At 61.6% G+C, this 23,832-nt stretch overlaps 2 protein-coding genes and 1 non-coding gene across 18 annotated transcripts in view, besides 11 other annotated features; all 3 read right to left on the reverse strand.

The window, feature by feature from the left end:
• On the reverse strand, positions 253 to 12,017 carry NSMF (NMDA receptor synaptonuclear signaling and neuronal migration factor). Of its 10 annotated transcripts, NM_001130969.3 has the most exons (16): positions 11,715 to 12,017; positions 11,171 to 11,232; positions 10,090 to 10,584; positions 9,094 to 9,169; positions 8,312 to 8,317; positions 7,922 to 7,990; positions 7,074 to 7,126; positions 6,414 to 6,503; positions 5,739 to 5,863; positions 5,419 to 5,502; positions 5,236 to 5,269; positions 5,048 to 5,118; positions 2,859 to 2,938; positions 2,606 to 2,708; positions 2,282 to 2,357; positions 253 to 2,174 (listed from the first exon to the last, which is right to left on the reverse strand). In NM_001130969.3, the coding sequence occupies exons 1-16, from the start codon at positions 11,783 to 11,785 to the stop codon at positions 2,077 to 2,079; spliced, it is 1,593 nt and encodes a 530-aa protein (NP_001124441.1). In that variant the 5' UTR covers positions 11,786 to 12,017; the 3' UTR covers positions 253 to 2,076. The 10 variants fall into 10 exon arrangements, with proteins under 10 accessions (NP_001124441.1, NP_056352.3, NP_001124442.1 ...); NM_015537.5 differs by lacking the exon at positions 8,312 to 8,317; NM_001130970.2 differs by lacking the exon at positions 7,922 to 7,990.
• Positions 1,952 to 3,151: an enhancer, noted in NCBI's record as "MED14-independent group 3 enhancer chr9:140343721-140344920 (GRCh37/hg19 assembly coordinates)". NCBI's record gives its function as "activates an origin of replication core promoter dependent on BRD2, BRD4, P300/CBP and CDK7 cofactors, and independent of MED14, by STARR-seq in HCT116 cells {active_cell/tissue: HCT116}" and the evidence as "EXISTENCE:reporter gene assay evidence [ECO:0000049][PMID:35650434]".
• Positions 2,709 to 2,769, reverse strand: MIR7114 (microRNA 7114). Its single transcript, NR_106964.1, has one exon. It is a non-coding gene; the product is annotated as a microRNA 7114 (primary transcript).
• Positions 4,888 to 5,771: an enhancer, noted in NCBI's record as "H3K27ac-H3K4me1 hESC enhancer chr9:140346657-140347540 (GRCh37/hg19 assembly coordinates)". NCBI's record gives its function as "activates a minimal SCP1, AML or CMV promoter by ChIP-STARR-seq in primed H9 embryonic stem cells {active_cell/tissue: H9 hESC(primed)}" and the evidence as "EXISTENCE:reporter gene assay evidence [ECO:0000049][PMID:30033119]".
• Positions 5,772 to 6,653: an enhancer, noted in NCBI's record as "H3K27ac-H3K4me1 hESC enhancer chr9:140347541-140348422 (GRCh37/hg19 assembly coordinates)". NCBI's record gives its function as "activates a minimal SCP1, AML or CMV promoter by ChIP-STARR-seq in primed H9 embryonic stem cells {active_cell/tissue: H9 hESC(primed)}" and the evidence as "EXISTENCE:reporter gene assay evidence [ECO:0000049][PMID:30033119]".
• Positions 6,750 to 6,799: a silencer, noted in NCBI's record as "silent region_20623". NCBI's record gives its function as "represses an Ori minimal core promoter by ATAC-STARR-seq in GM12878 lymphoblastoid cells {active_cell/tissue: GM12878}" and the evidence as "EXISTENCE:reporter gene assay evidence [ECO:0000049][PMID:35858748]".
• Positions 6,860 to 6,909: a silencer, noted in NCBI's record as "silent region_20624". NCBI's record gives its function as "represses an Ori minimal core promoter by ATAC-STARR-seq in GM12878 lymphoblastoid cells {active_cell/tissue: GM12878}" and the evidence as "EXISTENCE:reporter gene assay evidence [ECO:0000049][PMID:35858748]".
• Positions 7,538 to 8,419: an enhancer, noted in NCBI's record as "H3K27ac-H3K4me1 hESC enhancer chr9:140349307-140350188 (GRCh37/hg19 assembly coordinates)". NCBI's record gives its function as "activates a minimal SCP1, AML or CMV promoter by ChIP-STARR-seq in naive H9 embryonic stem cells {active_cell/tissue: H9 hESC(naive)}" and the evidence as "EXISTENCE:reporter gene assay evidence [ECO:0000049][PMID:30033119]".
• Positions 10,201 to 10,898: an enhancer, noted in NCBI's record as "H3K27ac-H3K4me1 hESC enhancer chr9:140351970-140352667 (GRCh37/hg19 assembly coordinates)". NCBI's record gives its function as "activates a minimal SCP1, AML or CMV promoter by ChIP-STARR-seq in primed H9 embryonic stem cells {active_cell/tissue: H9 hESC(primed)}" and the evidence as "EXISTENCE:reporter gene assay evidence [ECO:0000049][PMID:30033119]".
• Positions 11,538 to 11,807: a silencer, noted in NCBI's record as "silent region_20625". NCBI's record gives its function as "represses an Ori minimal core promoter by ATAC-STARR-seq in GM12878 lymphoblastoid cells {active_cell/tissue: GM12878}" and the evidence as "EXISTENCE:reporter gene assay evidence [ECO:0000049][PMID:35858748]".
• Positions 11,898 to 12,247: a silencer, noted in NCBI's record as "silent region_20626". NCBI's record gives its function as "represses an Ori minimal core promoter by ATAC-STARR-seq in GM12878 lymphoblastoid cells {active_cell/tissue: GM12878}" and the evidence as "EXISTENCE:reporter gene assay evidence [ECO:0000049][PMID:35858748]".
• The window catches only part of PNPLA7 (patatin like domain 7, lysophospholipase), a 90,451-nt gene continuing 79,253 nt past the window's right edge, over positions 12,635 to 23,832 (reverse strand). For 4 of the 7 annotated variants that reach the window (XM_047423367.1, XM_047423366.1, XM_047423365.1 and 1 more), the window contains 10 exons: positions 20,000 to 20,156; positions 17,023 to 17,187; positions 16,809 to 16,878; positions 16,098 to 16,214; positions 15,368 to 15,516; positions 14,862 to 15,014; positions 14,614 to 14,724; positions 14,219 to 14,303; positions 13,317 to 13,420; positions 12,635 to 13,159 (listed from right to left, as the gene is read on the reverse strand). In XM_047423367.1, the coding sequence (XP_047279323.1) occupies positions 13,076 to 13,159; positions 13,317 to 13,420; positions 14,219 to 14,303; positions 14,614 to 14,724; positions 14,862 to 15,014; positions 15,368 to 15,516; positions 16,098 to 16,214; positions 16,809 to 16,878; positions 17,023 to 17,187; positions 20,000 to 20,156 (1,195 nt within the window). In that variant the 3' untranslated portion in view covers positions 12,635 to 13,075. The remainder of the gene's footprint in view (positions 13,160 to 13,316; positions 13,421 to 14,218; positions 14,304 to 14,613; positions 14,725 to 14,861; positions 15,015 to 15,367; positions 15,517 to 16,097; positions 16,215 to 16,808; positions 16,879 to 17,022; positions 17,188 to 19,999; positions 20,157 to 23,832) is intronic. The other 3 variants (NM_152286.5, NM_001098537.3, XM_006717102.2) reach the window with 1 other exon arrangement.
• Positions 13,722 to 14,655: an enhancer, noted in NCBI's record as "H3K27ac-H3K4me1 hESC enhancer chr9:140355491-140356424 (GRCh37/hg19 assembly coordinates)". NCBI's record gives its function as "activates a minimal SCP1, AML or CMV promoter by ChIP-STARR-seq in naive H9 embryonic stem cells {active_cell/tissue: H9 hESC(naive)}" and the evidence as "EXISTENCE:reporter gene assay evidence [ECO:0000049][PMID:30033119]".
• Positions 14,656 to 15,588: an enhancer, noted in NCBI's record as "H3K27ac-H3K4me1 hESC enhancer chr9:140356425-140357357 (GRCh37/hg19 assembly coordinates)". NCBI's record gives its function as "activates a minimal SCP1, AML or CMV promoter by ChIP-STARR-seq in naive H9 embryonic stem cells {active_cell/tissue: H9 hESC(naive)}" and the evidence as "EXISTENCE:reporter gene assay evidence [ECO:0000049][PMID:30033119]".

Genomic DNA, 23,832 nt, shown 5'->3' on the forward strand with positions numbered 1-23,832 from the left:
CTGTTCTGGGTCTCAGAGCTCAGGTGACGGACAGATGTGCCTTTGGAGCAGTGCAGTGTGTGGGCACGTGGCGACCTCGCATGCTGTCCTACTTTGAAGAGTGCCACCCTTGAGGCCTGCACGGCAGCGTCAGCAGATTCCAGGCGGTGGCGACTTGTCTCATCAACTTTGCAGAAAGGAGACTCGGATCCCCCATGATTTCACGATATGTCACTTTCAAATAGTAACTGAATAACACAGAGTCTACAGGCATTTGGTATTTACCTAAAACTTTATACACTCAAATTGGCACCAAAACCTGCCCCCTCCCGGGACCCCATCTAGAATGCCCTGGAAGAGCTGGAGGTGGCTGACGGCTGTGTGACCACCCCCAGCACACTGGGCCTCAAGCCTGCCAGGCTGTGCCAGGCTGCGCACCAGTGGCCCCCTGACCCTAGCCCAGCTGATACGTGCTGCTCTGTCCCCCAGCCACGGGGCAGGGAACCAGCTGGCAGCCAGCCTGGCTGTGCCCAGCAGCGGTCTGGGCCCTGAGGACACCTGAGGTTGAGAGAGTGGCCCCCATCTGTGGCCACACTGCTGACTGCACACACAGTGTGGCGTGAGGGACATACAGCCCTCTCCCTGGTGCCCTCAGGCGGCAGGGGGAACGGGCTGTCTCTGCTGTCCCCTCCAGACCCGGCGAGGCCCCCCTCCGAGACTGCAGCCTCCCCCCAGCCCTCCTGCAGCTCCTCTCCGTCCCCTCCTGTGCTGGTCCCCCTGGCTATGCCCTGTGGGGTGGTCTAGTGGCCTAGCTCCAACTCTGTCCAGGCAGGAAGGCCCTGCAGCAGTGACCTCACAGGAGTGGGCCCAGAAGCTGGGCACAGGAAGGCCCCTGGAAAGCACTGAGAGGACAGACCCACGCGGCGGCCGCGGTGGAGGATCAGGTTTAATGGTCACTATGAGGGTATCGTACATCGTTCCAAGCCCGGCCCCCGCCCCAGCCCTCCCTCAGCTGGGAACACAGCCAGGTGCCCTCAGACCCCTGGCTCTGCACAAGGGGGGCCTGCCCCCTCGCCCCAGCTATATACACGACAGCCCATCCTGCTGGCCGTGGACAAAAGCTGGGAGCTCCTGTGCCCAGTCAGGAGCCCCTACAGTCCACCAGCTGCGCGGCCGGGTCCAGGGGCCCACTGTGGTGCCAGCGAGTTTCTCAAAACCCAGGGCCCAGCCCCAGCTGGGCCCCTGCCAAGCCCCAGGCCTGTGTGCTGGGATGGAGCCTCCACACTGAGGCTGGTAAAAGCTGAACTCAACAGCAGCAATGAGAGTGCTGGGTGGGCTTGGGGGGATGGGGAGCAGGCCCCACCCAGAGCCTCCTCTGAAGGAGGGGACGCTGCGCCCTTCCTTCCTGCTGCCCAGACTGCCCCTACCGGGTCCGGCGCCGGCTGAGGTCTAAGTAAGCAGGGATGGGGGGTGGCAAGAGGAGTGTAAGTGAAAGCACAGACAGTCGGAGACTCGGCCAGTGTAGACAGACCCAGAGACTCGGCCAGTGTAGACAGAGCCAGGCTGGGCAGCCCGGCGACGCTGGCCCCACGCACACGGGCCACCCTGGTGCTGGTGATCGATACGGCAGGGAGGGGGTGGGCAGGGAGGGTCCTGAACACATGTGGGCTGCTGGGCTGCTGGGCCGGGGTGCCTACACTGTAACTAGCAGCATAGTGCTTAACTAGTTAACAAGAAATGCTGCTTCCCTTTGAATTGTTTCGGGGGTGTAGAAATTGCACTTATTTCTATGAACCCCATGGAGGGATGCCCACAGCTGAGCCTCCAGGCGAGGCATGGCAGGTCAGTGCCTGGCCGCTGAGCATCCACGGGCCACAGGGCGGGATCCTCCCGGCCCCCAGGGACTGCAGCCTCTGCGGCCACGGGTGCAGCGAGGACCGGAACCCACAGGGGGAACCTGAGCAACGTCTGAGGTGCCCTGAAGTGGCTCCAGGCGAGACCGGAGCCACACAGTCCCGGGGAGCACGAGGCGGCCCAGCCCCAGGTCCCGGTGCAGAGGGAGTGGCCTGATGGTGACTGGGCGGAGGCCTCTGCCCCTCACAGGACGTCGTCAAAGTCCAGCAGCTTCGAGTGCTGGCGGCTCTTCCACAGGCGATACAACCGGAAGTCAAAGTACGTCTCGATCATCTGCTTCCCTGGGCGGAGCGGGGGCAGGAGGCTCAGGCCTGGCCGGCCCTGGGGATCCCACCCCACCGTGGCCCCGCAGTGGCTGCAGAGCTTCGGCCCAGCCTGGGTAACTCACCTTGGGCTGAGAGCTCCAGGGGTGACTCGAAGGTGACCCTATAAGGAGTCATGAGGGTCCTGAGGTTCTGGAACAGCTGGAGGAAGCGGGGTGCCATGAGTCCGAGGCAGAGAGATGGGGAAGGAGGAGCGGGGAGGAGATGGGGAGCAGGGCCCACCCTCTTTTTTCAGACCCCCCAAACCTGGCTGGGCTCAGGCATAAAGGATTTCTAGGGGAATGCCCGGGGGAAGGAAAAAAAATGCCAGGAAACATGGAAGGCTCTGCCCTGTCTGTCCACGTCGGGGGTTTCCAGAGGTCTGGGGTGGGGCTTGGGGGTCACTGTACCTTCTCTCCATTGGGGTTCCCCAGAATGTAGCAGCCCATGATGTGGATGACGTTCGGCTCTGGGTTCACTTTGCTCATCAGGCGGCTCAGCCGCTTCCAGAAGCTGGTGGAGAGGGGTGGGTCACCCAGTGGCAGGGGACAGGCACCCCACTCCACAGAGCGGACCGTGGAGGAGGGGCTGTGGGGGAGGGACATGCCAGGGCCTGGACTCTGCCTCCAGCCCTCCCCGCGCCCAGGGCACCCGGCTTCTCACTGAATCATGTCCTCTTCCTTCTCCACTTTGGCAAAGGTGGCCACCTTGTTCTTGAGGAGATAGAGGTGTCCAGGACCTCCCTGTAAGAAGCTGTGGTCAGGCATCTGCTCCTCCTTCCTCCCCCTCTCCGACACACATGCACCCACGCACATGCGTGGGAGGTAGTTTTGGTCTTCATCCCCCGGCCACGCTTCTTCCCCTTGATCTCCCCCACCACACGTCTTTCCCTTGATCTCCCCCACCACACGCCTCTTCCCTTTGATCTCCCCCCCACGCCTCTTCCCCTTGATCTCCCCCACCACATGCCTCTTCCCTTTGATCTCCCCCACCACACGCCTCTTCCCTTTGATCTCCCCCACCACACACCTCTTCCCTTTGATCTCCCCCACCACACGCCTCTTCCCCTTGATCTCCCCCACCACACGCCTCTTCCCTTTGATCTCCCCCACCACACGCCTCTTCCCTTTGATCTCCCCCACCACACGCCTCTTCCCTTTGATTTCCCCCACCACACGCCTCTTCCCCTTGATCTTCCCCCGCCTCTTCCTCTTGATCTCCCCCCCTCGCCTCTTCCTCTTAATTCCCCCCAATGCCTCTTCCCCTTGATCTCCCCCACCACACGCTCTTCTCCTTGATCTCCCCCCAATGCCTCTTCCCCTTGACCTGCCCGCCACGCCTCTTCCTTTTGATCTCCCCCCCACACCTCTTCCCCTTGATCTCCCCCCCACGCCTCTTCCCCTTGATCTCCCCCTCCACACGCCTCTTCCCCTTGATCTTCCCCTGCCCCTCGTCTCTTCCCCTTGATCTCCCCTGCCACGTCTCTTCCCCTTGATCTCCCCCACCACGTCTCTTCCCCTTGATCTCCCCTCCACGTCTCTTCCCCTTGATCTCCCCCTCCACACGCCTCTTCCCCTTGATCTTCCCCTGCCACACGTCTCTTCCCCTTGATCTCCCGCGCCACACGCCTCTTCCCCTTGTTCTGCCCTCCACGCCTCTTCCCCTTGGTCTTCCCCACCACACGCCTCTTCCCCTTGGTCTCCCCCGCCACGTCTCTTCCCCTTGGTCTTCCTTGGCCACACGCCTCTTCCCCTTGATCTCCCCACCATGCCTCTTCCCCTTGATCTCCCCCTCCACACGCCTCTTCCCCTTGATCTTCCCCTGCCCCTCGTCTCTTCCCCTTGATCTCCCCCGCCACGTCTCTTCCCCTTGATCTCCCCCGCCACGTCTCTTCCCCTTGATCTCCCGCGCCACACGCCTCTTCCCCTTGTTCTGCCCTCCACGCCTCTTCCCCTTGGTCTTCCCCACCACACGCCTCTTCCCCTTGGTCTCCCCCGCCACGTCTCTTCCCCTTGGTCTTCCTTGGCCACACGCCTCTTCCCCTTGATCTCCCCACCATGCCTCTTCCCCTTGATCTCCCCCTCCACACGCCTCTTCCCCTTGATCTTCCCCTGCCCCTCGTCTCTTCCCCTTGATCTCCCCCGCCACGTCTCTTCCCCTTGATCTCCCCCGCCACGTCTCTTCCCCTTGATCTCCCCCGCCACACGCCTCTTCCCCTTGGTCTTCCCCCGCCACGTCTCTTCTCCTTGATCTACCCCCCAAACACCTCTTCCCCTTGGTCTCCCCCAGCCACACGCCCCTTCCCCTTCATTTCCCCCCCGCCACACGCCTCTTCTCCTTGATCTTTCCCCCTCAATGTCTACACCTCTTCTCCTTGGTCTTCCCCAACCCCAGCCTCTTCCCCTTGGTCTCCCCCAGCCACACCTCTTCCCCTTGGTCTCCCCCAGCCACACGCCTCTTCCCCTTCGTTTCCCCCCGCCACACGCCTCTTCTCCTTGATCTTTCCCCCTCAACATCTACGCCTCTTCTCCTTGGTCTTCCCCAACCCCAGCCTCTTCCCCTTGGTCTCCCCCAGCCACACCTCTTCCCCTTGGTCTCCCCCTCAAACACCTCTTCCCCTTGGTCTTCCCACCCCAGCCTCTTCCCCTTGGTCTCCCCCAGCCACACCTCTTCCCCTTGGTCTCCACCCCCACGCCTCTTCCCCTTGGTCTCCCCCACAAACACCTCTTCCCCTTGGTCTCCCCACCCCAACCTCTTCCCCTTGGTCTCCCCCAACTTGACTTCTTCCCCTTGGTCTTCCCCTGCCCCACCACGATTCTTCTCCTGGTCAGGAGACGAGCACTGAGCCCCACCTGGCAGAAAATCAGCATTTTCCAGATCTTGGCTCCCTTGTGGTAGACGTTCAGCTTCCTCTCTATCTCCTCTGTGGGAGAGCGGGTGTGAGTGCTGCGGCCCCCACCCCAGCCCCAGGGGCACCCCCACCTGTGTCTGCCCCTCCCAGGCCTGGAACCAGCAGAGAGAAGGCCAATGAGGCACATACCAAGGATGTCCTCGAAGGTTGCGTGCTCATGGTCCTGGGGACAGACACAGGCCACAAGGCCACATCAAGGCTGCGTCAGAGCCAGCAGCGCCACAGCACCCTGGGGACCTGGGGTGCCGGCGCTGGCCCAGGGTGGGGCCGCAAGAGGGCATCTGTTGGGGGCAGGCCCGGGGCGGGACTCACGTAGAGGATGGGGATGATGGAGGGGTCATCCCGGCGGATGATAGTGGGGATGTACTCAGCCTTGGGCACCTTGGAGGAAATGAGCTGCGGAGACAAAGAGCTGCTCAGGGGCCCCAGGCCCATCCAAAAGCCAAGGGGCTGTGGGAGCCCCCATGAGGCTACCTTCTGGCTGCCAGGCAGCCCAAGGGTATAGCCCTGTGAGACACCCTCCCCCAGGCAGCTGGAGAAGGCTGCGTGGTCCCAGGCAGAGCTGGCTGGACTCGGGTTGGGGCGGAGTCCTGCTCGGGGTGTAGAGGAGCACTGCCCGGGCTGGGCCTCACCATGACCTTTGGTGGCACGAAGCCTTCGGTGTCGCAGGCCACAGCCTCCAGGCCCTTCTCAGTGTCCCAGTCCAGGTCCTCGAAGGCCTCGTCCAGCGTGCAGTGGGAGCTCTGCAGGTCACTGCCTGGGAAGCAAGAGGGTCACCAGGACAGCAGGCCCGGCAGCACCTCCTATCCTGGCCATGGCCCCAAGGCCCACAGGGCCCGAAAGCCCCATCCCGGAGGGTCCTCCAAGCAAGTGGGAGGACCATACAGAGGTCGCCGCCAGCCCGGCAGGACAGGCCTGTGGACACCACTGGGCAGCGGCCTGATGTGGGAAGGGAGACCCTGGTGCGAGGCCGGTGGAAGGCGCGTGCAGGCATCAGCTCCAGCCAAGTCCGCCGGGCGCCTGGGAGGGAGTGGGGGCGGGCACCGCAGCCCCCTGCCCCTGAGGGCCTCTTGCGAGTGGCGGTGGGCACGGCCCTACAGGCGCCCCCGGCCAGCACTGCCGCGGCCGTTGTTAGCCCCGCCTTTGCGATCGGAGATGCTGAGGGCGTCCCCATCTCACAAACAGGTAAACCAAGATTCAGGAGTGCAAAAGCGCAGCCCAGCGGCCCTGGCAGGGGACCCCCAGCAGGGGTCTGGGGTCTAGGGGAGGCTCTGGGGAAGGTGGGCGGGCCTGTGCGGGGCACCTACTGTCTCGGGAGTCGTGGGAAGTGTCGGCTTTCATGGGGGTGGGGTCGCTCCAGGACCGGCTGAAGCTCCGCTCGCGCCGCTCAGCGAACGCTGCAGAGAGCAAAACCCGCATTAGCGAGCGGGTGGGGCGGGGCCTCGGGAGTCTCAGACCCCAGGCGAGGGGACCACAGGGGCCCTGGGCAGAGGAGGAAGCTAATGTGGGTGGGGTCTAAGGCACATGAAGCAGACACGGACCAGAGGCTCGGTTGGTTCAGGGGCAGGATCTGAGAACACTGGGGCAGGGCCAGAGGCGGAGTCTGGGAAGGGAGGAGCCTGGGCCGGGCTGGGGGCGTGGCTGGGAGGGGAGGAGCCTGGGCCGGGCTGGGGGCGTGGCTGGGAGGGGAGGAGCCTGGGCCGGGCTGGGGGCGTGGCTGGGAGGGGAGGAGCCTGGGCCGGGCTGGGGGCGTGGCTGGGAGGGGAGGAGCCTGGGCCGGGCTGGGGGCGTGGCTGGGAGGGGAGGAGCCTGGGCCGGGCTGGGGAAGTGGCTGGAAGGGGAGGAGCCTGAGGCAGGGCCCGATTGGGGTTGGGGCGGGGGTCGTTCTTATCGCAGCTAGCAGCAAGCAAAGCCCCAACCAGCCAAGCGCAACGCCGCCCCCCCACCCCCGCCGCACGGGGTCTTACTCTGGGCCTTCACCCTCCGGCTGCCGACCATGCGCAGGTGTTTGCGGAAGTTCCTGGGGGAGGAAGCCAGGGGCTGAAGAGGGCCGTGAGAGGGTGACGGCAGCCCCTGCCCACCTAGCCCCCGTCGGGTCATGGCTCTACTCTCACCCCTTCGGTGTGGGAAGCCAGTGCTCTCCCTGGCTCCTGGCACCACCTCCCACCCAAAGGCAAATCCCACCCAGTGCTCTTCCCGCGACAGCCTTCCAGGGCTCCCCTTCAACTCCAGAACAAAGGTGCAGTGCCTGGCGCTCTGGATCAAGTCTCCTCCCGAGCTGCATTCCCAGGCTCTGACCTTCCGTCCTCGCCCGGGACTTACGCCCTGAGCCTCCACGCCCATGTGGCAGAGGATCCAGCCTGCCTGCGCTGCAGCAGAGCGGGGCTCCTGTCTGCACCACCCCATGGCGGGCTGGGGGCCTGCAGGAGCCCCCTCTCCTGCTCTGTGTCCTTGAGCCACCTCAGGGGCAGGTCCTCTCCTCCACCAAACTTTGGACCCTGCCAAGGCCCAACATCCAAAACGGGCAAAAAAGCTTCCCAGACACATCTGTGTGATTGGAGTGGGGGAGGGGGGCCTTGCTGCTGGCCCCAGCCCAGACAGAGACACGTGCCCTCGGAGTGCAGGACTGAGGGTGAGATGCTTTCCTGCAGCCCGGGCCACATGGCCTCTCCTGCCTGCCACGTCCCCAGAGCAGGGCCAGGCCAGTGGTCGCCACCACCCTTCCCCCATCAGGTCTGCCAGGGCCGAGGGGGCCCAGGCCAGGCCAGCACAGACCAGAGATGGACCCTGGTGGCGAGTGGCTGGCAGGCCCTACCTCTGGATTACAGACGCGGAATCATTCTCCCGTTTCCGGCGCTTCCTCTCCGCGTAGCCCCTGAACACCCTGGGAAACCACCGCGAGTCAGCACTGCCCTTGGCCGGAGGCAGGAGGGACACAGACGTCGGGACAGTGGTGCGAGCAGAGGGCCCAGCAGGGCGTCTGGGGCACGGGGCCCGGCAGAGGAGTCCCAGCCTGCCTCACCTGTCGAGGCCCAGCTCCCAGCAGGCCCTGCTGCGACCTCGGTGCCCGCTGGGAGCCAGGCCCGCAGAGAGCGGCACTCCCTCAAGACCCAGGTCCCTGGCCTGCCCAAACCTATTTGGGGTGGGAGGGTCTCCCCAGGGACAACAGCTGTGCCCTTAGGCACCAAGTCATACAGGTACTTACGAGATGCTGAAGCCAGGGCCAGAAGGGATGGCGTGAGAGAGAAGACACAGTGAGCTCAACCCCGGGCCTCCCCTCAGCCCCCACCCGGTCCCTACAGTTCCCTTCTTGTCACTGACCCAATAGGTCCCTCACAGGTAACCCAGCCACCAGCAGGATGCTGGCTACACTGCTGGCCAGCCCTGAATGGGCAACGGAAGCTGATGTCACTGCAGCCCATGCCACAAGGACTGGTTGCTGAGACCAGGCAGCCTGAGGCTGGGTGTGGGGTGGACTCCCCCGGGCAGGACACTTCTTTGGTGTGGGGACCAATGCAGCAAAGGGAACTTCCCTGGAAGGAATCCCAGAACAGAAAAGCCAAATGTATGTCAAGACAGAGAGGAGCAGGTCCCTGCGGGGACCCTGAAACTGTGATGACCTATGGCACGTATGAAACAGAAGTAGGCTTCTATTTGGGGTTTGAGGGAGGGCAGACACAGGCTGAGGAGAGTGGATAGGAGCAGGAGAACCTGCCACACCCCACACCCCACTGAGAGCTCATCAGCTGCAGCCCTGGGCCAGGTCCCCTGACTGTGTGTGTGTGGGGGGGGGGGCTGGGCACCAGCCATGGGAGGGGAAGAGCAGTCAGCCCTGGCCTCCCTGGCAGGCCTGGCACAGCATAGGCACGTGGGTCTGTTCAGAAGCAGCCCCCCTGGTAGGCCCAGAGACTGGGAAAAAGTGCTGTTTCCTGAGCAGCAGAAAGAGACCACCCAACCCTGACCCCAAGTCGTGGGCACAAGACTCACGCTTGCATAGTTGTGGTTGCTGTCTGGAAGCTGAAAAGATTTTCCTTGGGGAACCAGGTACGAATAGGGATGTCGTCTAAGAGAGACAAAAAGGAGCGGTGGCTGGGTGAAGTAGGGGTTCCTGAAGCCTCTCCCTCCCTGTTGGGAAGCAGATGCTTCTGGGTCCAGGGGTCAGCAGAAGCTGGCAGCCAGGGCGGGTGGGGGGAGGGTGGCATCCCCACACGGGCACAGAGGGCAGTGCTCGAATGTCTGCTGCTCACTCACCAAGACCACGCTCTTGGTAACTTGACGCTTTGATTTTTTTGGCTTAACTTTCCCTTTGGCCACCCAAAGTTTGAGAAACATTCCTTTGAAAGCACAGTCTGTCTCCAGGAGGCCCAGGAAAACAATGCGTCTGTTTCCCTTGGGCAGAAGAGGCTCTGAGGCCTTCTCTGCAGCCCCCATGCTCTAGCTGGAGGCCCTCACCGAGGCTAGAGACCACCTTGCTGAGGGCTGTCCCCTTCCGAGGGCCCCCACAGCCTTTCCCTGATGCCCAAGTGTGGGGACAGTGGAGTGACTTTCTGCCTGGTGGACAAGCTACCACACAACTCAACAACCCTGGGGAAAGATGCCCACTGCCTGGCTGGGCCCCAACAGCTCCCCAGGACTCTCGGAGGGCAGCCCAGTCTCCTGATTAAGCGGTGCTTCCTCCCTACATATCCCTTAAGATCCTCCCAGGCCCCCTCCTCCAGGAAGCACTCCTTGATTGACCTGGTGCTAGCAGGGCGAAAGCGGACTGTGAGGCCTGGCAGATTTTGCTGAGGAGCTGAGGGAGCTCACAGCTCATAGGGTGTGGAGGCCGCAGCAGAAGCCTGCCGGTTTTAATCTTGAGTCCGCTGGCATGCTGTGACCTGAGCACCTGTTCTCTGTTCCAAGCCTCACAGTGGCTGCTGCTGTCAGACCCTGGCAGCGGCATGCACCCCCAAACCTGTCTATGCCCTGACACAAACCCCTCACCAGACACACGGTCAACGCTGTACATCCTCTCCAGCTTCTTGCGGCGACCGGAGGTCTCAGGCAGAGGTGGCTGGTCCAGCCCAAAGGCCCGAGGGGTGGGGCCAGGAGCCAGCTGGGCACATCCGGGGCACTCCTTGGAGCCCTGGCGGCTGCCCGCCCAGCTCTGGCAGGGCCTGCTGACGTCCTCCCGGCTGCCACCAGGGCTGGCGCGCAGGGGCTGGCTGTGATGGTGAGGGTGCCGCTGCCGCCGCCCCTTCACCACCGCCAGCTCAATGGCCTCCGCCTCAGGGCTGGGCAGCAGGGCAGGCTCCCCAGAGATGGTGTACACTCGAGGCTGAGGGCCCTCGCCTGCGGGCTTCCTAATGCTGGGCTCCTCTGAGAGGCTGCCCTCGTAGCAGCCGTTGGAGACGAGGGACAGGCGGCGCTTGTTCTGGGGGGCCGGCTGCATCTCGGGGGACCCGTCGTGGCCAGAGTAGGCATCAGCCAGCAGGTGATCTAGGAGAGACACTGAGTGAGCCTGCCTGCCGCGTGTGGGCCCCCCGCTGCCGGTTTCATAGCAGGCCGAAGGCAGAGAACACCCAGTGGGCACCTGGCCTCTGTGGGGGACTAGGGCTGCCCAAACCCTAGTCACTGGCGTGTTTCTGAGCCCCTCACTCCTATCTGGGCCTGAAGCTCTAGCATGTGCGTGGGGGCTGGGTGACGCTGTGCTACCTGTGTGCGGTCCTGCCGGGTAGGAACACGCAGGCCATCCCCCAGCCTGCGATCGCACCGTTTGCCTGGTGCCAACTTCCCCCTCCCCCCACCAGCTGGCCCCCAGAGGCAGTGGTGCCAGCCCTGGGGGAGCCAGGAGGCCTGTTGCCATGCCAACGGCCCAGGCGGGGTGGGTGCCATGGTGACGAGCGGCTGGGAACTGCTCCTGGGGCTCGGGCAGGGAGGGCAGGGGATGTAAGGAAGCCAGGCCGGCAGGGCGCCGGGCCCACGCGCAACCAATGCCCCTCACGCTCCACCCCCGGAGGCAGGGATCAGCATCCCTTGGGCTGGGGGGTCTGGGCGGCCCTGGCACGGCCTCGCGTGCCCCTACCTGCGCCGTTGCGGTTCTCAGGGTGACTCTGGGACAGGTACTCTCCAAACGCTCGGGCTGCTCTGAGGGTGGACAGAGGGCACGGTCAGAGGCCACGGCACGACCCTCCCAAACACCGGGCCGCGCAAGAGCCGGGGGTCCGGTCCCCAGCCAGGCCCTCGGCGTCTGGAAGGAGGGTCGGGGTCGTCCCCCTCCGGGAGCCCACACACCCTTGGTCCTGGTGCGCCCTGGCCAGGCCTGCAGGCCCGGCCCCTGCCCGTCGGACCGTGGAGAGGGGTCGCGAGGCCGGTCGGCTGCTGTTCCCCGGGGGAACCGAGGCCACTCCCGACCTGGGGGGTGCGCTCGCCCACCACGCGCTCGCGAGGGGAGGGGAGGGAAGAGCAGGGCAGGGGACCAGGAAGAGGGAGGCGCGGGGCGCGGGGAGGGCGCCTCAGTGGCAGAGGCCGGGGCCCGGGAGCCCGGGGAGCACCGCGGGGCAGGGGCGGACTCGGGCGGGGTCGGAGGTCCAGGGCGGGGTGCGGGAAGGCGGCCCCGCCGCACTCACCGCACTTTGGCCGCCACCGAGGACATGGCCTCGCTCCTCAGCGCCCTCCTCCTGGAGGCGGCGGCGCCCATGGTCGAGGCGGCGGCGCATCCCCCGGGCCTCAGAGCGCGCCCCGCGCCCGCCGCCTCCGCCGGGGTAGCCGCGCCGCACCGGGGGTCGCGCTCGGGCTCGGGCTCGGGGTCTCGCTCGGGCTCCGGCTCGGGCTTGGGCTCGGGGTCGGGCTCGGGGTCGGGCCCGGTCCCCGCATGGCCGCACCCGGCGCTCCGCGCGTGCCGCCGCTCCCGGGAGAGCGCTGCCCGAACCGAGGGCCGGCCCCGCCCATCGTGACGTCAGGGCCCGGGCGGGCCCAGAGGGGCGGTCGGCCCCACCTACCGTGACGTCAGGGCCCCGGAGAGCTCGGAGAGGACATGTGGCCCCGCCCACCGTGACGTCCGGGCCCGGGTTGAGTTGGGGGCGGGGCCGGGCGGCCTGGCTCCGCGCCCTCTCGTCCAGGCCTCCAGAGCGGGGAAACTGAGGCCAGCGGCCCCCTGGTCGCAAAGTCCTGGGCCCTCGGCCCTCACGATCTGCTGCTCAGACCTGCAGGATCACAGGGAGGCCGGTTCTCCCTCCCCTTACACAAAAGGGCTCCCTGTGCAGTTTGGGAACTGGAAACCGAAGGGGAAGCCAGTTTAGGGGGCACCCAGTTTGCACGAGGCCAGAGAGAGACAGAGGGGCCCGTCCTGGTCCTGGGGGGCCACAGCTCTATGCAGACTCTGGACGCCCTACCTGCCTGGCCTGCATTTGCCGCCCTAGGGCTCTCAGGCCCCAGCAGTGGGGTCCTTTGAGGAGGACTGGGGACTGCCCAGCCTCAGGGACCACCCGCATCAGGGAGAACCAGTAGTGTTTCTTTGCCACAGGGACCTCGGCCCGGGAGACACGTCCAACAGTGAGATCCACCTTTATTGAAACATCACACGGCAGCATCAGGGCTCCCACACCTCACAGGGCAGCAGGCAGTTCACAGGACAGCAGGCAGTTCACAGGGCTTTGGGGGCCTCACAGGGCAGCAGGTGGTTCACAGGGCTTCGGGGGGCCTCACAGGGCTTCGGGGGGCCTCACAGGGCTGCAGGGGGTTCACAGAGCTTCAGGGGCCTCACAGAGCTTCAGGGGCCTCACAGGACTGCAGGGGGGCTCACAGGGCCCTGTATGCAGGGCTGCTGGTACAAAGAAGAGGCCCAGAGAACCCTAACACAGCCTGGGGCCCCGGGGAAGTCAGGGCTTCCAGCAGGGCAGGTACAGAGGCCCCTAGGACTTGGCAGGAGCCTCAGCCTTGGGGACAGTCCCACGGAAGACGCTGCATCCGGGCTCTTTAGCAGAGGCCTCTACCCGTCCTGGTCAGAGGAGCCCTCAGACAGTTTTGGGAAAGCCAGACTGGGGTGTCGATGCCGCAGTGAGGACTCGTCCTCCTGCAAGCAGACCGCATGTTCCAGGTGAGGACCAGGCAGGGCAGGGGCTCTGCAGCGCTGGTAACCCGGTGGGACCACAGGGAGGGAGTGGCCGGCACAGGGCCAGGCACCAAGGCTCAGCTGTGGGCACCAGGTGGGACCATGCCCAGCTCCTCACCAAGTCTGAGCCCTGCTGGGCTGAGGTGCTCTGGAAGTCTGCGTATGCATCCCTGGGGACGTCCAGCAGCTCCTCCTCGTACTCCGTCTGGTAGTCAGATTCGTCTGGCACCGAGGGTAGGGCTGCGTCAGTCCCCTCCCAAGGAAGGGACCGTACCCAGCATAGCCACACTCAGAGGCAGAACCGGCCACAGATGCCCACCCCCGCCTCCAAGGTGGCCCGGGGCCCTACACGCAGCCACCTGGTCCCAGGGCAGCCCTGCACACCACCCCTGGTTCTGTCTGGCTCCAGCTTTGCCCCAGCACATCACTTCGTGGGTCTTCCACAAGGACAAGGAGCGGGCAGACACTCCTCCCCTTGTCAGCCAAGCACCCTGAGGGCTCCAGCACCCCAGACCTGGCAACTGTGGATAGGGGCTGCCTTGCCCAGGGCCCTCTCGGCCTGCGGCAGCCATGAAGACGTCTCCCAGGAGAATGTCCAGTTCTGCTGTGAGGAGGCCACTGGCTGAAGGCCCAAGCGCAGGGCCCTGGATGGAGCATGGAGGGTAGTGGACCCGCCCTTCTTGTCCTGCGGCCCCTCCAACAAGCAGCCTTCATTCCCATTTCCCACTGGGTGGGGTGGGAGGCAAAACGTGGTTCTACTTCAGGCCTGAGGTGTGGCTGGGAGTTGAGGTGAATGAAGGGCAGGGGCTGGGTGACCCGGGGTGGTCACAGTCCCACTGCTGTGGGAACACGTGGTGCCCGGGACGGAGGAGTGCCACCAAGCACCCCAGCTGCTGGAGCCTGGGCGTGGACGTGGGCGGGAGGGGAGGCCGTGGGCCTCTGGGGTGGGGGGGTTCAAGCCCAACACAGCATCAGGAGGTCACGCACGTCTCCACGGCTTCGTCTTGCGCCTCCACTCACCATCCACCATGGCGGGCTTGGCGGGCTCAATGCGAGACACAATTTCGGCAAGGTCCGTGAAGGAGGCGTTGGGACAGGTGAGGACCTAGGGGTGGGGTGAGGACAGCACGTTGCCTGTGGACACCCGCCTGCCAGTCCCCAGCCTGCTTCCTGTGGGGAGGCCCCACCCACCCTGCGCCCTCTCTGCAGCCTCCGCCTGCCCCCCAAGTAAGGGCAGGGACCGGGGAGATGCGCAGTCCTGAGCAATCCTTGTCCTGGCCCTGGAGTCTTTGGCCAGGGGGGCAGGGCCTGTGGCCTGAGGAGCTGGGCGTGGCCTGATGAACTGGGCGTGGGCGTGGCCCGAAGAACTGGGCGCGGTCCGGGGAGCTGGGCGTGGTCCGGACGCCCGTACTCACCGCACTCGCGGGCTTCTTGCTCGGCCCCTGCTGGTCGCGGAGCATCTTCTCCAGCACGCCGCTGCGGCCCCAGATGTCAAACACCGTGCGCCCGTGCTGGTAGCCCACTTCCTGTGCACACCCCCAGGGCCCCGTCAGGAGGTGTGGGGAGCCCCCCACTTCCTGTGTTCTCAAAAGGGGGAAGCGAGGAGGGGCAGCCACCAGAGTGCCTCCGCCCGCCTCCGCCGCCGCGGGTGGCCGGCACTCACGCAGATCTCGTTGAACTTGCCGAAGTCCAGGGTGCTGTAGCTGTCGATGGGGGGGCGCAGGTACTCGCAGTAGTCACTGCTCTTCACCACCTCCAGCTGCCGCACGCAACACACGTAGGCCAGGCGCGTCTGAATCTCTGCCATGTTCAACACCTGCTGCCGTCACAGCCGCCTGAGTCTCCTGCCCCGGCCCCTACCCCGTCCCAGCCTGGCCCGTGGCGCAGGACAGGTTCTGGGGACCCATCCTCTGGGGTAGGTAGGTTCTGGGGGGAGAGGGTAGCAGCACCCGGCCGGGGGTCCTCCCTGCGGGCTGCCACAGCCTTCAGGCCCGTCCGGCCTCGTGCCTTCCTTCGCCCGAGTTGGGCTCAGGCAGGGGTGGTGAGGGGTGGCCCCAGACCTGCTGGCCTCAGAGCCCAGGAGCGACCCCCACTCCCCTGCCGCAGGACAGGTGTGGAGCTGCAGGGAGGAGCAGCAGGGACAGCCCAGCCTGCCCGGTAGCACCCCACCTTGACTTTCGTGGCCAAGGGGTTCCAGCGTTTCCACAGCAGCCACCACCCAGACAGCGCATCCCCATAGTTGGTGAGGTCCGTCTCATCTCGGCTGCCCACGTCAATGGCGATCACCACTTTTGCCCCCATGGACCGGGCCACATCCGCTAGGGAGAAGCCAGCCCTGGTTACCCCCTGGACAGGCATGCAGAGCCAGGGGACGGGGGCAGAGCCTGCCTCTCCGAGCCCTGACGTGGGGGTTGTGGGGTCTCCTCTCCGCCATTACACCTTCTAGAGGCAGAAGACCCACATGCCCAGCTCGATGGGCAGCTGTGGGCACACGGCTGTGTCCTGGGCCTTTCTGACCGTATATCCCACAGGTGACAGGAGTGGCCTGGCCTGGCCCCCAGCAAGCTCGACACCTGCAGGCTGTTAGTTTCTGACTGTGGGCACAGATGGGGCTTAATTGCTCCCAGTTCCTCGACTTGGCCTTTGTTCTGCATGCTGCTGAGCTGACAAACAGGGCCATATGCTGGAGCACATGCTGCCGGTGCCTGCGTGTGCATGTACACGCGTGTGCATGTTCTCGGAGCTCTGATGCCAGCCTGACATTTTCCCTTGGCATACTCTAAGGAAAACGTGTTCCAGCCCAGGCTTCTTGGAGCGGAGGCAGCTGTGGCAGGGGCCGTGGGGCGGCGTGACCCAGGAGCCTGTGCTCCTGCCGGGCGTGGTCCCCCCACCGCAGTACCTGGGAGGTTGTTGATGTAGCCCCCGTCCATCAGCAGGTGTCCGTCCTTCGGGTCACAGAGAGGGGGCATGTAACCGGACAGGGACATGCTGGCACGCACGTACCACCACAGGGAGCCTGGGGAGGGGGCCCGGAGCTGCTGGTTACCCGGAGGAGGCTCCTCCTGGGTCCAGGGTTCAGGGCCTTGCCACTGCAGTCCTGGAGCTGGTAGGTCCCAACTCTCTGAGGCCGCCTCCACAGAGGGAAGCTCATGGCCCAAGGGCTGAACAAAATTGAGTTCTTTCTCTGGGGTCGCACTGCATTACATGTGCCCAGGACTTCGAACTGCTGTGACCCCCTCACCCCAGGACTGAGGGAGCCCCTCACCCCATGACCGAGTGAACCCCTCATCCCCCTGAACCAGGTGAGCCCCTCACCCCAGGACTCAGGGAGCCCCTCACTTTGTCCTCTCACATGGTATCCATCAGTCTAGCCCAACATTGCTGATTCTGTGAGGGTCTCCTCCAGCCTTCTGAGGTCTCTGGCCCAGGCCACGCCCCCTCCTGTCTGTGCCCCTAGTAGGGGCATCCTGTGTCCTCCATGGACAAAGCTGCCCATACGTCTGCATCCTTCAGGAGACCCCGCGGCCTTCCCAACCCCTGGGGCTGCTGAGCTCTCCCCCTGCCCACACCTCGCACCCAAGCGGCCGCCCTGCGCAGCAGGAGTGCTCACCGTCGGTGTGGACCCGCATGGCCGAGGCTGTGATGTCGGTGGTGATGGCGAAATAAGGAATCCACAGGTCCTGCGGGCGGACGGGGCTCAGATGGGCCCTCTCCCATCACGCTCCTGTCCTGTGTCTGGGGAGGCTGACCCAGGGCCAAGAGGTGGGGGGCCAGGAGGGGACAGGCACTGGGGGCTGCATGGGCTCCTGAGGGTGGGGGTGCACCTCGATCTGCTGGTCCTTGAAGACGCTGAAGATGCTGCTGTTGAAGCCGGCTCCGGAGAACATGGACGTGATGGGGTAGGTGAGGTCCAGCGCGGCCTTCATCAAGGACGTCATGCCCTGGGGCCACATGTGGAATTTACAGAAGGCTTCCACCCTCCCTGCGGGCTGCCACAGCAGACACGTGGCGTGCTGAGGGCCTCTCATGAATGGAACGGGGGTCCAGAGTGTCCTTGGGCCCCACCCACGGTCCTGAGGCTTGGCGCCCTGGCTGGAGCCTCAGAGTGAGCAGAGGCTGGTGGTCGCCCCAGGGCCTGAAAGCCAGGACACAGCCCACCCTCGGTCCCTTCCTGATCCCTAAGCCCTCGCTGGCCCTACCCTCGCAGGCTCTGCAGCGCCCCCATGCCTGGGGCCTCCTCGGCTTTGCCTGCTCAGCTCTGGGGCAAGGCCTGCCCATGCCCGTGGCTGGAGGGTCAGCGAGGAGGAGAGCTCGGGGCGGGCTGCTGGGCACATGAGGTTCCTGGGCCAGGGGGACACAGTGGATTGCTTTCGGGAAGGTCAGAGCCACCCAGCCCTGGCTCACATGCCACTGCGGTACTCCATCAGGGGTCCCGGGGAAGCCGGGCTCTCTTGGGTTCCTTCTGGGTGGGCCTGGGGCCCATCCTTCCTCAGTGAGGCAGGCAGGACTCGAGACTGACCTCAAACTAGCCTCAATGCCCAGTGTGGATGGAGAGGAAGGGTCTTCCCTGCCATAGTGAGCCAGGGCTCAGGGGACGGAGGCTGGGAGGGAAGCGCTTGGAGTGTGGGCTGGACGTGCTTACACCGTGTGATGCAGGCAGTGAGAACGCCTCGGCCACAGGCAGAGGAGACCCCGGTCCTTCCCTGAGGAAGCCCCTGCCCAGTACCAGAGGGGCTCACAGAGATAAGCCAGACCACACGCCCACTGTCCCCTCTCCTCAGCATGAGGGGCAGGCACACAGCCCCGGCCTCACCTTGCCCCGGCCAGTTCCCAGGGCCCAGTGATCCCAGCACGGAAAGAGGACCAGCCCAGAGAGCTCTGGCCATTCCCACACCTGGCCCCCCAGCCCCAGACCCACAGACGGAGGGACAGGGAGAGGGCCACCAGGTGACTCTGGGACAGGACCGGCTCGGAGCCACCTCTGCCCATGGCGGGTTCTGTCCCGAGGACGCTGTCCCTGGGGCCGTCCTGCTGCATGCCAGTCCCCAAGCCCTCTTTTGAGCAGCCACGCTGAAGGTGACTAGGTGACTCATTTTAGGGAAAGAAACATTTCTGAACAGAGAGGGGAGAAGGTGTCAGTGGCCTTGGGACTCGCTGCTGGGGCTGGTGGCAGCCCCGGGCCACGTGAATGCAGCACAGGCCTGCTTGGGAGCTGCTGCCGCACAGGGGGTGACGAATTTTCTTTCCTTTTAAAAGGAGAACACGAACCCTTCTGATCCCACTCATGGCTCCAACCAAAGCTCGGTTTTGTTCCACAAAAGCAAGCGCAGCGCTGAGGAGGGCAGACGGTGGCCACGTCTGCTGGGGAACGGAGCCTGGCTGCCTCCCTCTGCTGCCCGAGGGGAGCCTGTTCTCACTGTTGTCTTTGATTCTGTATTTGGTATTCTGATTCTGGAATCCATTTATCACAAGGCCAGACTAGTGGCCAAAGTAGTTTACATCTCCCCCGTGACACTGAGCCGCCCTGACCTGATCTCACATCCCCACGCCAACATCTCCCTGCCCTAAATCAACCCAGGCCGGGTGCCATGCACCAGGGACAGCCCCACGGCCCCCAGCGTGCCTGAAGGACTCAGTCAGCCCATCCTCAGCTGCTCACGCTGCCCTGCCTGGCCGTTGGGTCAGAAACCCCCATGGAGGCTCCATGCCTCTTATTCCCAGGGGCTGTAACAGTCAGCTTCTTTTCCACAATCCTGGCATCCATGTCATCCTGCAGCCACCTCCACCATCTCAGACCCGGGCACGGATCAGACCGCCTCCCATCGTCAACCTCCACCAACTCAGACCCGGGCACAGATCAGACCACTTCCCACCACCATCTCCACCATCTCAGACCCGGGCACGGATCAAACCGCCTCCCAACACCGTCTCCACCACCTCAGACCCAGGCACAGAACAGACCACCTCCCACCACCACCTCGACCATCTAAGACCCGGGCACAGATCAGACCACCTCCCACCACCATCTCCACCATCTCAGACCCCGGCACGGATCAGACCACTTCCCACCACCACCTCCACCAACTCAGACCTGGGCACGGATCAGACCACCTCCTACCACCATCTCCATCACCTCAGACCCGGGCACGGATCTGACCACCTCCCACCACCATCTCCATCACCTCAGACCCGGGCACGGATCTGACCACCTCCCACCACCATCTCCACCAACTCAGACCCGGGCACGGATCAGACCGCCTCCCACCACCGTCTCCACCAACTCAGACCCGGGCACGGATCAGACCACCTCCCACCACCGTCTCCATCACCTCAGACCCGGGCACGGATCAGACCACCTCCCACCACCGTCTCCACCAACTCAGACCCGGGCACGGATCAGACCACCTCCCACCACCGTCTCCACCATCTCAGACCCGGGCACGGATCAGACCGCCTCCCACCACCGTCTCCACCATCTCAGACCCGTGCACAGATCAGACCGCCTCCCACCACCGTCTCCATCACCTCAGACCCGGGCACAGATCAGACCACCTCCCACCACCGTCTCCACCAACTCAGACCTGGGCACAGATCAGACCGCCTCCCACCACCAACCTGCATCTGTGCCTTCTCTGTGGTGCTCCTTTGCCTCACAAGCTGCACTGGGAGGCTTCAGGGGGTAGCCTCCTCGAGGGCAGGGCCCTGCAGAGCCACATGCAGAGGCCAACGGCCCCAGCGTCCCCCAGCACCAGCAAGGACCTGGGGGCTGTGCTCCGGTGAGGGTGATGGGTGCCTGCTTACCTCGGCCCACTGCTTGGCCCGGATCCGCATCTGGCTGTAGTTCCGCTCCTCAGAGTACAGGGCACCCACGAAGGCCCCGATGGACGTGCCTCCCACCATGTCCACAGGGATGCCGCACTCCGCCAAGGCCTTGAGAACGCCCACCTGGGCACAGCCTCTACACCAGCCAGGGACACAGAGCAAGGAGTGAGTACCAGGCCCAGGCTGCGCCCTGCAGAGGCCTTGTGCTCATCCTCAGTTCCCAACTCCTCCACAGGCAGAGACGCTGACGCAGAGAGGGACTCCAGATGCAGTTTAAAACCCCTCTTTCCGGGCTCACGCCTGTCATCTCAGCACTTTGGGAGGCCAAGGCGGGCAGATCACTTGAGGCCAGGAGTTCGAGACCAGCCTGGCCAACAGGGCAAAATTCCATCTCTACTAAAAATACTAAAATTAGCCAGGCGTGGTGGTGCGCGCCTGTAATCCCAGCTACTCGGGAGGCTGAGGCAGGAGAATCACCTGAACCCAGGAGACAGAGGTTGCAGTGAGCTGAGATCACACCACTGCACTCCAGCCTGGGAGACAGAGTGAGACTCTGACTCAAAATAAATAAATAAATAAATTAATTAAATAAATGAAATCCTTCCTTCTGGAGGTACTGAGGGACTGTGAGGCTGGGATGGGGAGGAAGGTGTCCTGAGAGTTGACCGGCATTGGCCTCTTCTACCCGGAAACACGGCTGCCTCCAGCAGGGCGTCTGAGAGGTGGTGGGAAAACTGGACTTGAGGGGCCCTGGAAGGGAGGAGCCTGGGAAGCATCCTGAGGGGCAGCACCCCAGGAGTCAGATGAGCTGGATGTAGACCAGCACCCATGAGACCAGGGAGCACCCCCGAGACCAGGGGGCACCCCCGAGACCAGGCAGCCGGCACCCAGGGCCTCTAATTGCTACTGCTGCTTTCATACAGAATGTCCACCACTCAACCAAAGATTACCAGTCATATGAGAAGAAAAGCCTCATATAGGCTTTCCTTTTGGCCTCATAGCCAAAAGAAAAAACAGACAATGAAAGTGGGCCCAGAGTGCCTCCCAGGTAAGAGATACAGACACAGGCTTTTACAATGACCACGCTTAAAGTGTGCAGGGAGCCAAAAGGTGGCAACAGCTGATGAATGGGTACAAAGTAGACAAGGGAAGAGCACCCAGCTCTAAGGAGGGAGCTCGGATGCAAGCCACAGCTGGGGGGGACCCTGGAGGCATTTGCTGTGGTTTAGCTCTCTGTCCCCACCGAAATCTCATGTTGAATTTTAATCCTCAGTGTTGGAGGAGGGACCCGGTGGGAGGTAACTGGATCATGGGGGCAGATTTGAGGTGGGAAGACGTCAAAGGCTACACTGAGCTGACGTCACACCACTGCACTCCAGCCTGGACTGGAGTGAGACCCTGTCTATAAAAAAGTTCTGGAAATGAACAGTGGCAATTGTTCATTTCACGACATTGTAACAACATTGTATCATTAATTATATTAATATGATATATTAATACTTAATTGGATACTCAAAAATGGTTAAGTGGTAAATTTTATGTTATGTATATTTTAACATAATAAAAAAAACCATATGTAATACTGCCACAGAATATTACTCAGGTATAAGCCTTAAAAACAAGTTCAAGTTGGGAGGTGGAGGTTGCAGTGAGCCAAGATCGCACCATTGCACTCCAGCCTGGGCAACAAGAGCAAAACTCCGTCTCAGAAAAAACAAAACAAAAACAAAAACCCAAGTTCAAGGAATTAAAAACAAGAGTGTTAATTCTGGCATAAAACCAAATGAAAATTCTAGAAGTGAAAAATATAATAACAAATGAAAAGCTCAATGAGTGGGTCTAACGGCAGAACAGAACAGCTGAAGAGAGAAATGGTAAAATACAAGATGGGTCAGAAACAGTCACTGAATCATGAAGCATCAAGAGGACAGAATATGTAACAATATTGTTTTACAAAATCTGTAAGGGAGTTTAGGAAACATGGGATCTGGCACCAAACTCTAATGTATGTGTGATCAGAGCCACAGAAAGCAGACAGGGAGGGAGCTGTATCTGAAGAGACAGTGTGGCATGTTCTACAGACAGACATCAGGCCTCAGAATCAGGAAGCATGATAAATCCTAACATAAATCAAAAGAAAACCATTCTCATGTTGTCAAAAACCCAAGGAAAGAAAAAACCTTTAAGCGAGCCTGAGAAAATAAAAGATGCGTTACCTTAACTTTTCTATCCTCTGAGTGGTTGTGAGAGAGTATATATTTACTATCTGTTTCTTTATAGACAATGTCTGCTCGTCTAAATGTTAGGGAAAAAAGAACAACTTAAATAAAAGAGTAAAATTAAGCAAATAACAAAGATAAGAGCATAACTTAAAGAGCCAAAAACAAACATAGAGAAGATTGACAAAGATGAAAGTTGGTGTTGGAGGGACCAATTCGACGGACAGCCCGGGTGAAGCCGATCAAGGAAATGAAAGAGAGAAAGCATCAATGATGAACAGGAAAGAAAATGGGAACATTGGTGCAGATGCTTTAGTTTAAAATACTGAACAGCTTCATGCCATAAATAGAAAAATTCAGATAAAATGGGCACATTTTTAGAAAAACCTAACTCACCAAAATAACATAAGAAATAGAACATATGAGTAGTACTGTAACTCAGTAAAGATTAAATAAATTTAATCTATTTATTTTTTATTTTTATTTTTAGACAGGGTCTAGCTCTCACCCAGGCTGGAGTGCAGCGGTGTGATCACAGCTCACTGCAGCCTCAACCTCCTGGGCTCAAGTGATCCCCCTCCTGCCTCCGCCTCCCAAGTAGCTACGACCATATCACACCCAGCTAATCTTTTCATTTTTTATAAAGATGGGGTCTCACTATGTTGCCCAGGCTGGTCTGGAACTCTCGGGCTCAAGAAATCCTCCCTCCTTGGCCTCCCAAAGTGCTGGGATTACAGGTGTGAGGCACCGCGCCTGGCCTCTTGGAAGGTTTTATGTAAAATTTGTTTTATTTATTCCTTATACGTTTCATAAAATTCACCAGTGAAACCATCTGGATATGAAACTTTCTTTGTGGGGATTTAAAAGTTACAGATTCCATTTCTGGCTGAGCGCAGCGGCTCACACTTGTAATCCCAGCAGCGAGCTGTGATCACACCACTGCACTCCAGCCTGGGCAACAGAATGAGACACTGTCTCAAAGAAAATAAATAAAAATAAAAAAGTAAAAATAAAAATTTTTTAAAAACCTTCTAGAGAATAGGAAAAGAAGATGAACTTCCCACTTAAGCTTATGAAGCCAACAAACAAACCTTCATACCAAACCCGGTAAAGACATTTCAAAAAAGGACAATTTCAGTCCAGTCTTACTCAGGTTTGAGTAGAATCTAGCAATATACAAACAGGATAACTTTAACATCAGGACGAAATGGGTCTGTCCCAGGAGCACAATGTTCATTTTAATTTGAAAATCAATGTAATTAACACATTAACAGATTAAAGAGAAAATACAATCATCTCGATAGAGTCACAAAAACCACCATTCATGATTTAAAAAACTCAGGAAACTGAGAATAAAAGGGAACTTCCTCAGTCTGACCAAGGGCAGCCACAAAATGCCAACAGCCAAGATCACACTCAGTGGTGGGCTGAACACCTGCTCCCGCGCCTGGAATGAGGGTTGGGTGTCTGCGCCCACCACGTCTATCCACAGTGCAGCGGTGGTTCCCACCAGCACAGTAAGGCAAGAAGAAGAAACAGAAAGAACGTACATATGCATATTGTACAGGAAGAGAAAATACTGTTTTAATCTCA

The sequence above is a fragment of the Homo sapiens genome, chromosome 9, assembly GCF_000001405.40.
Source record: "Homo sapiens chromosome 9, GRCh38.p14 Primary Assembly".
NCBI lineage: Eukaryota > Metazoa > Chordata > Mammalia > Primates > Hominidae > Homo > Homo sapiens.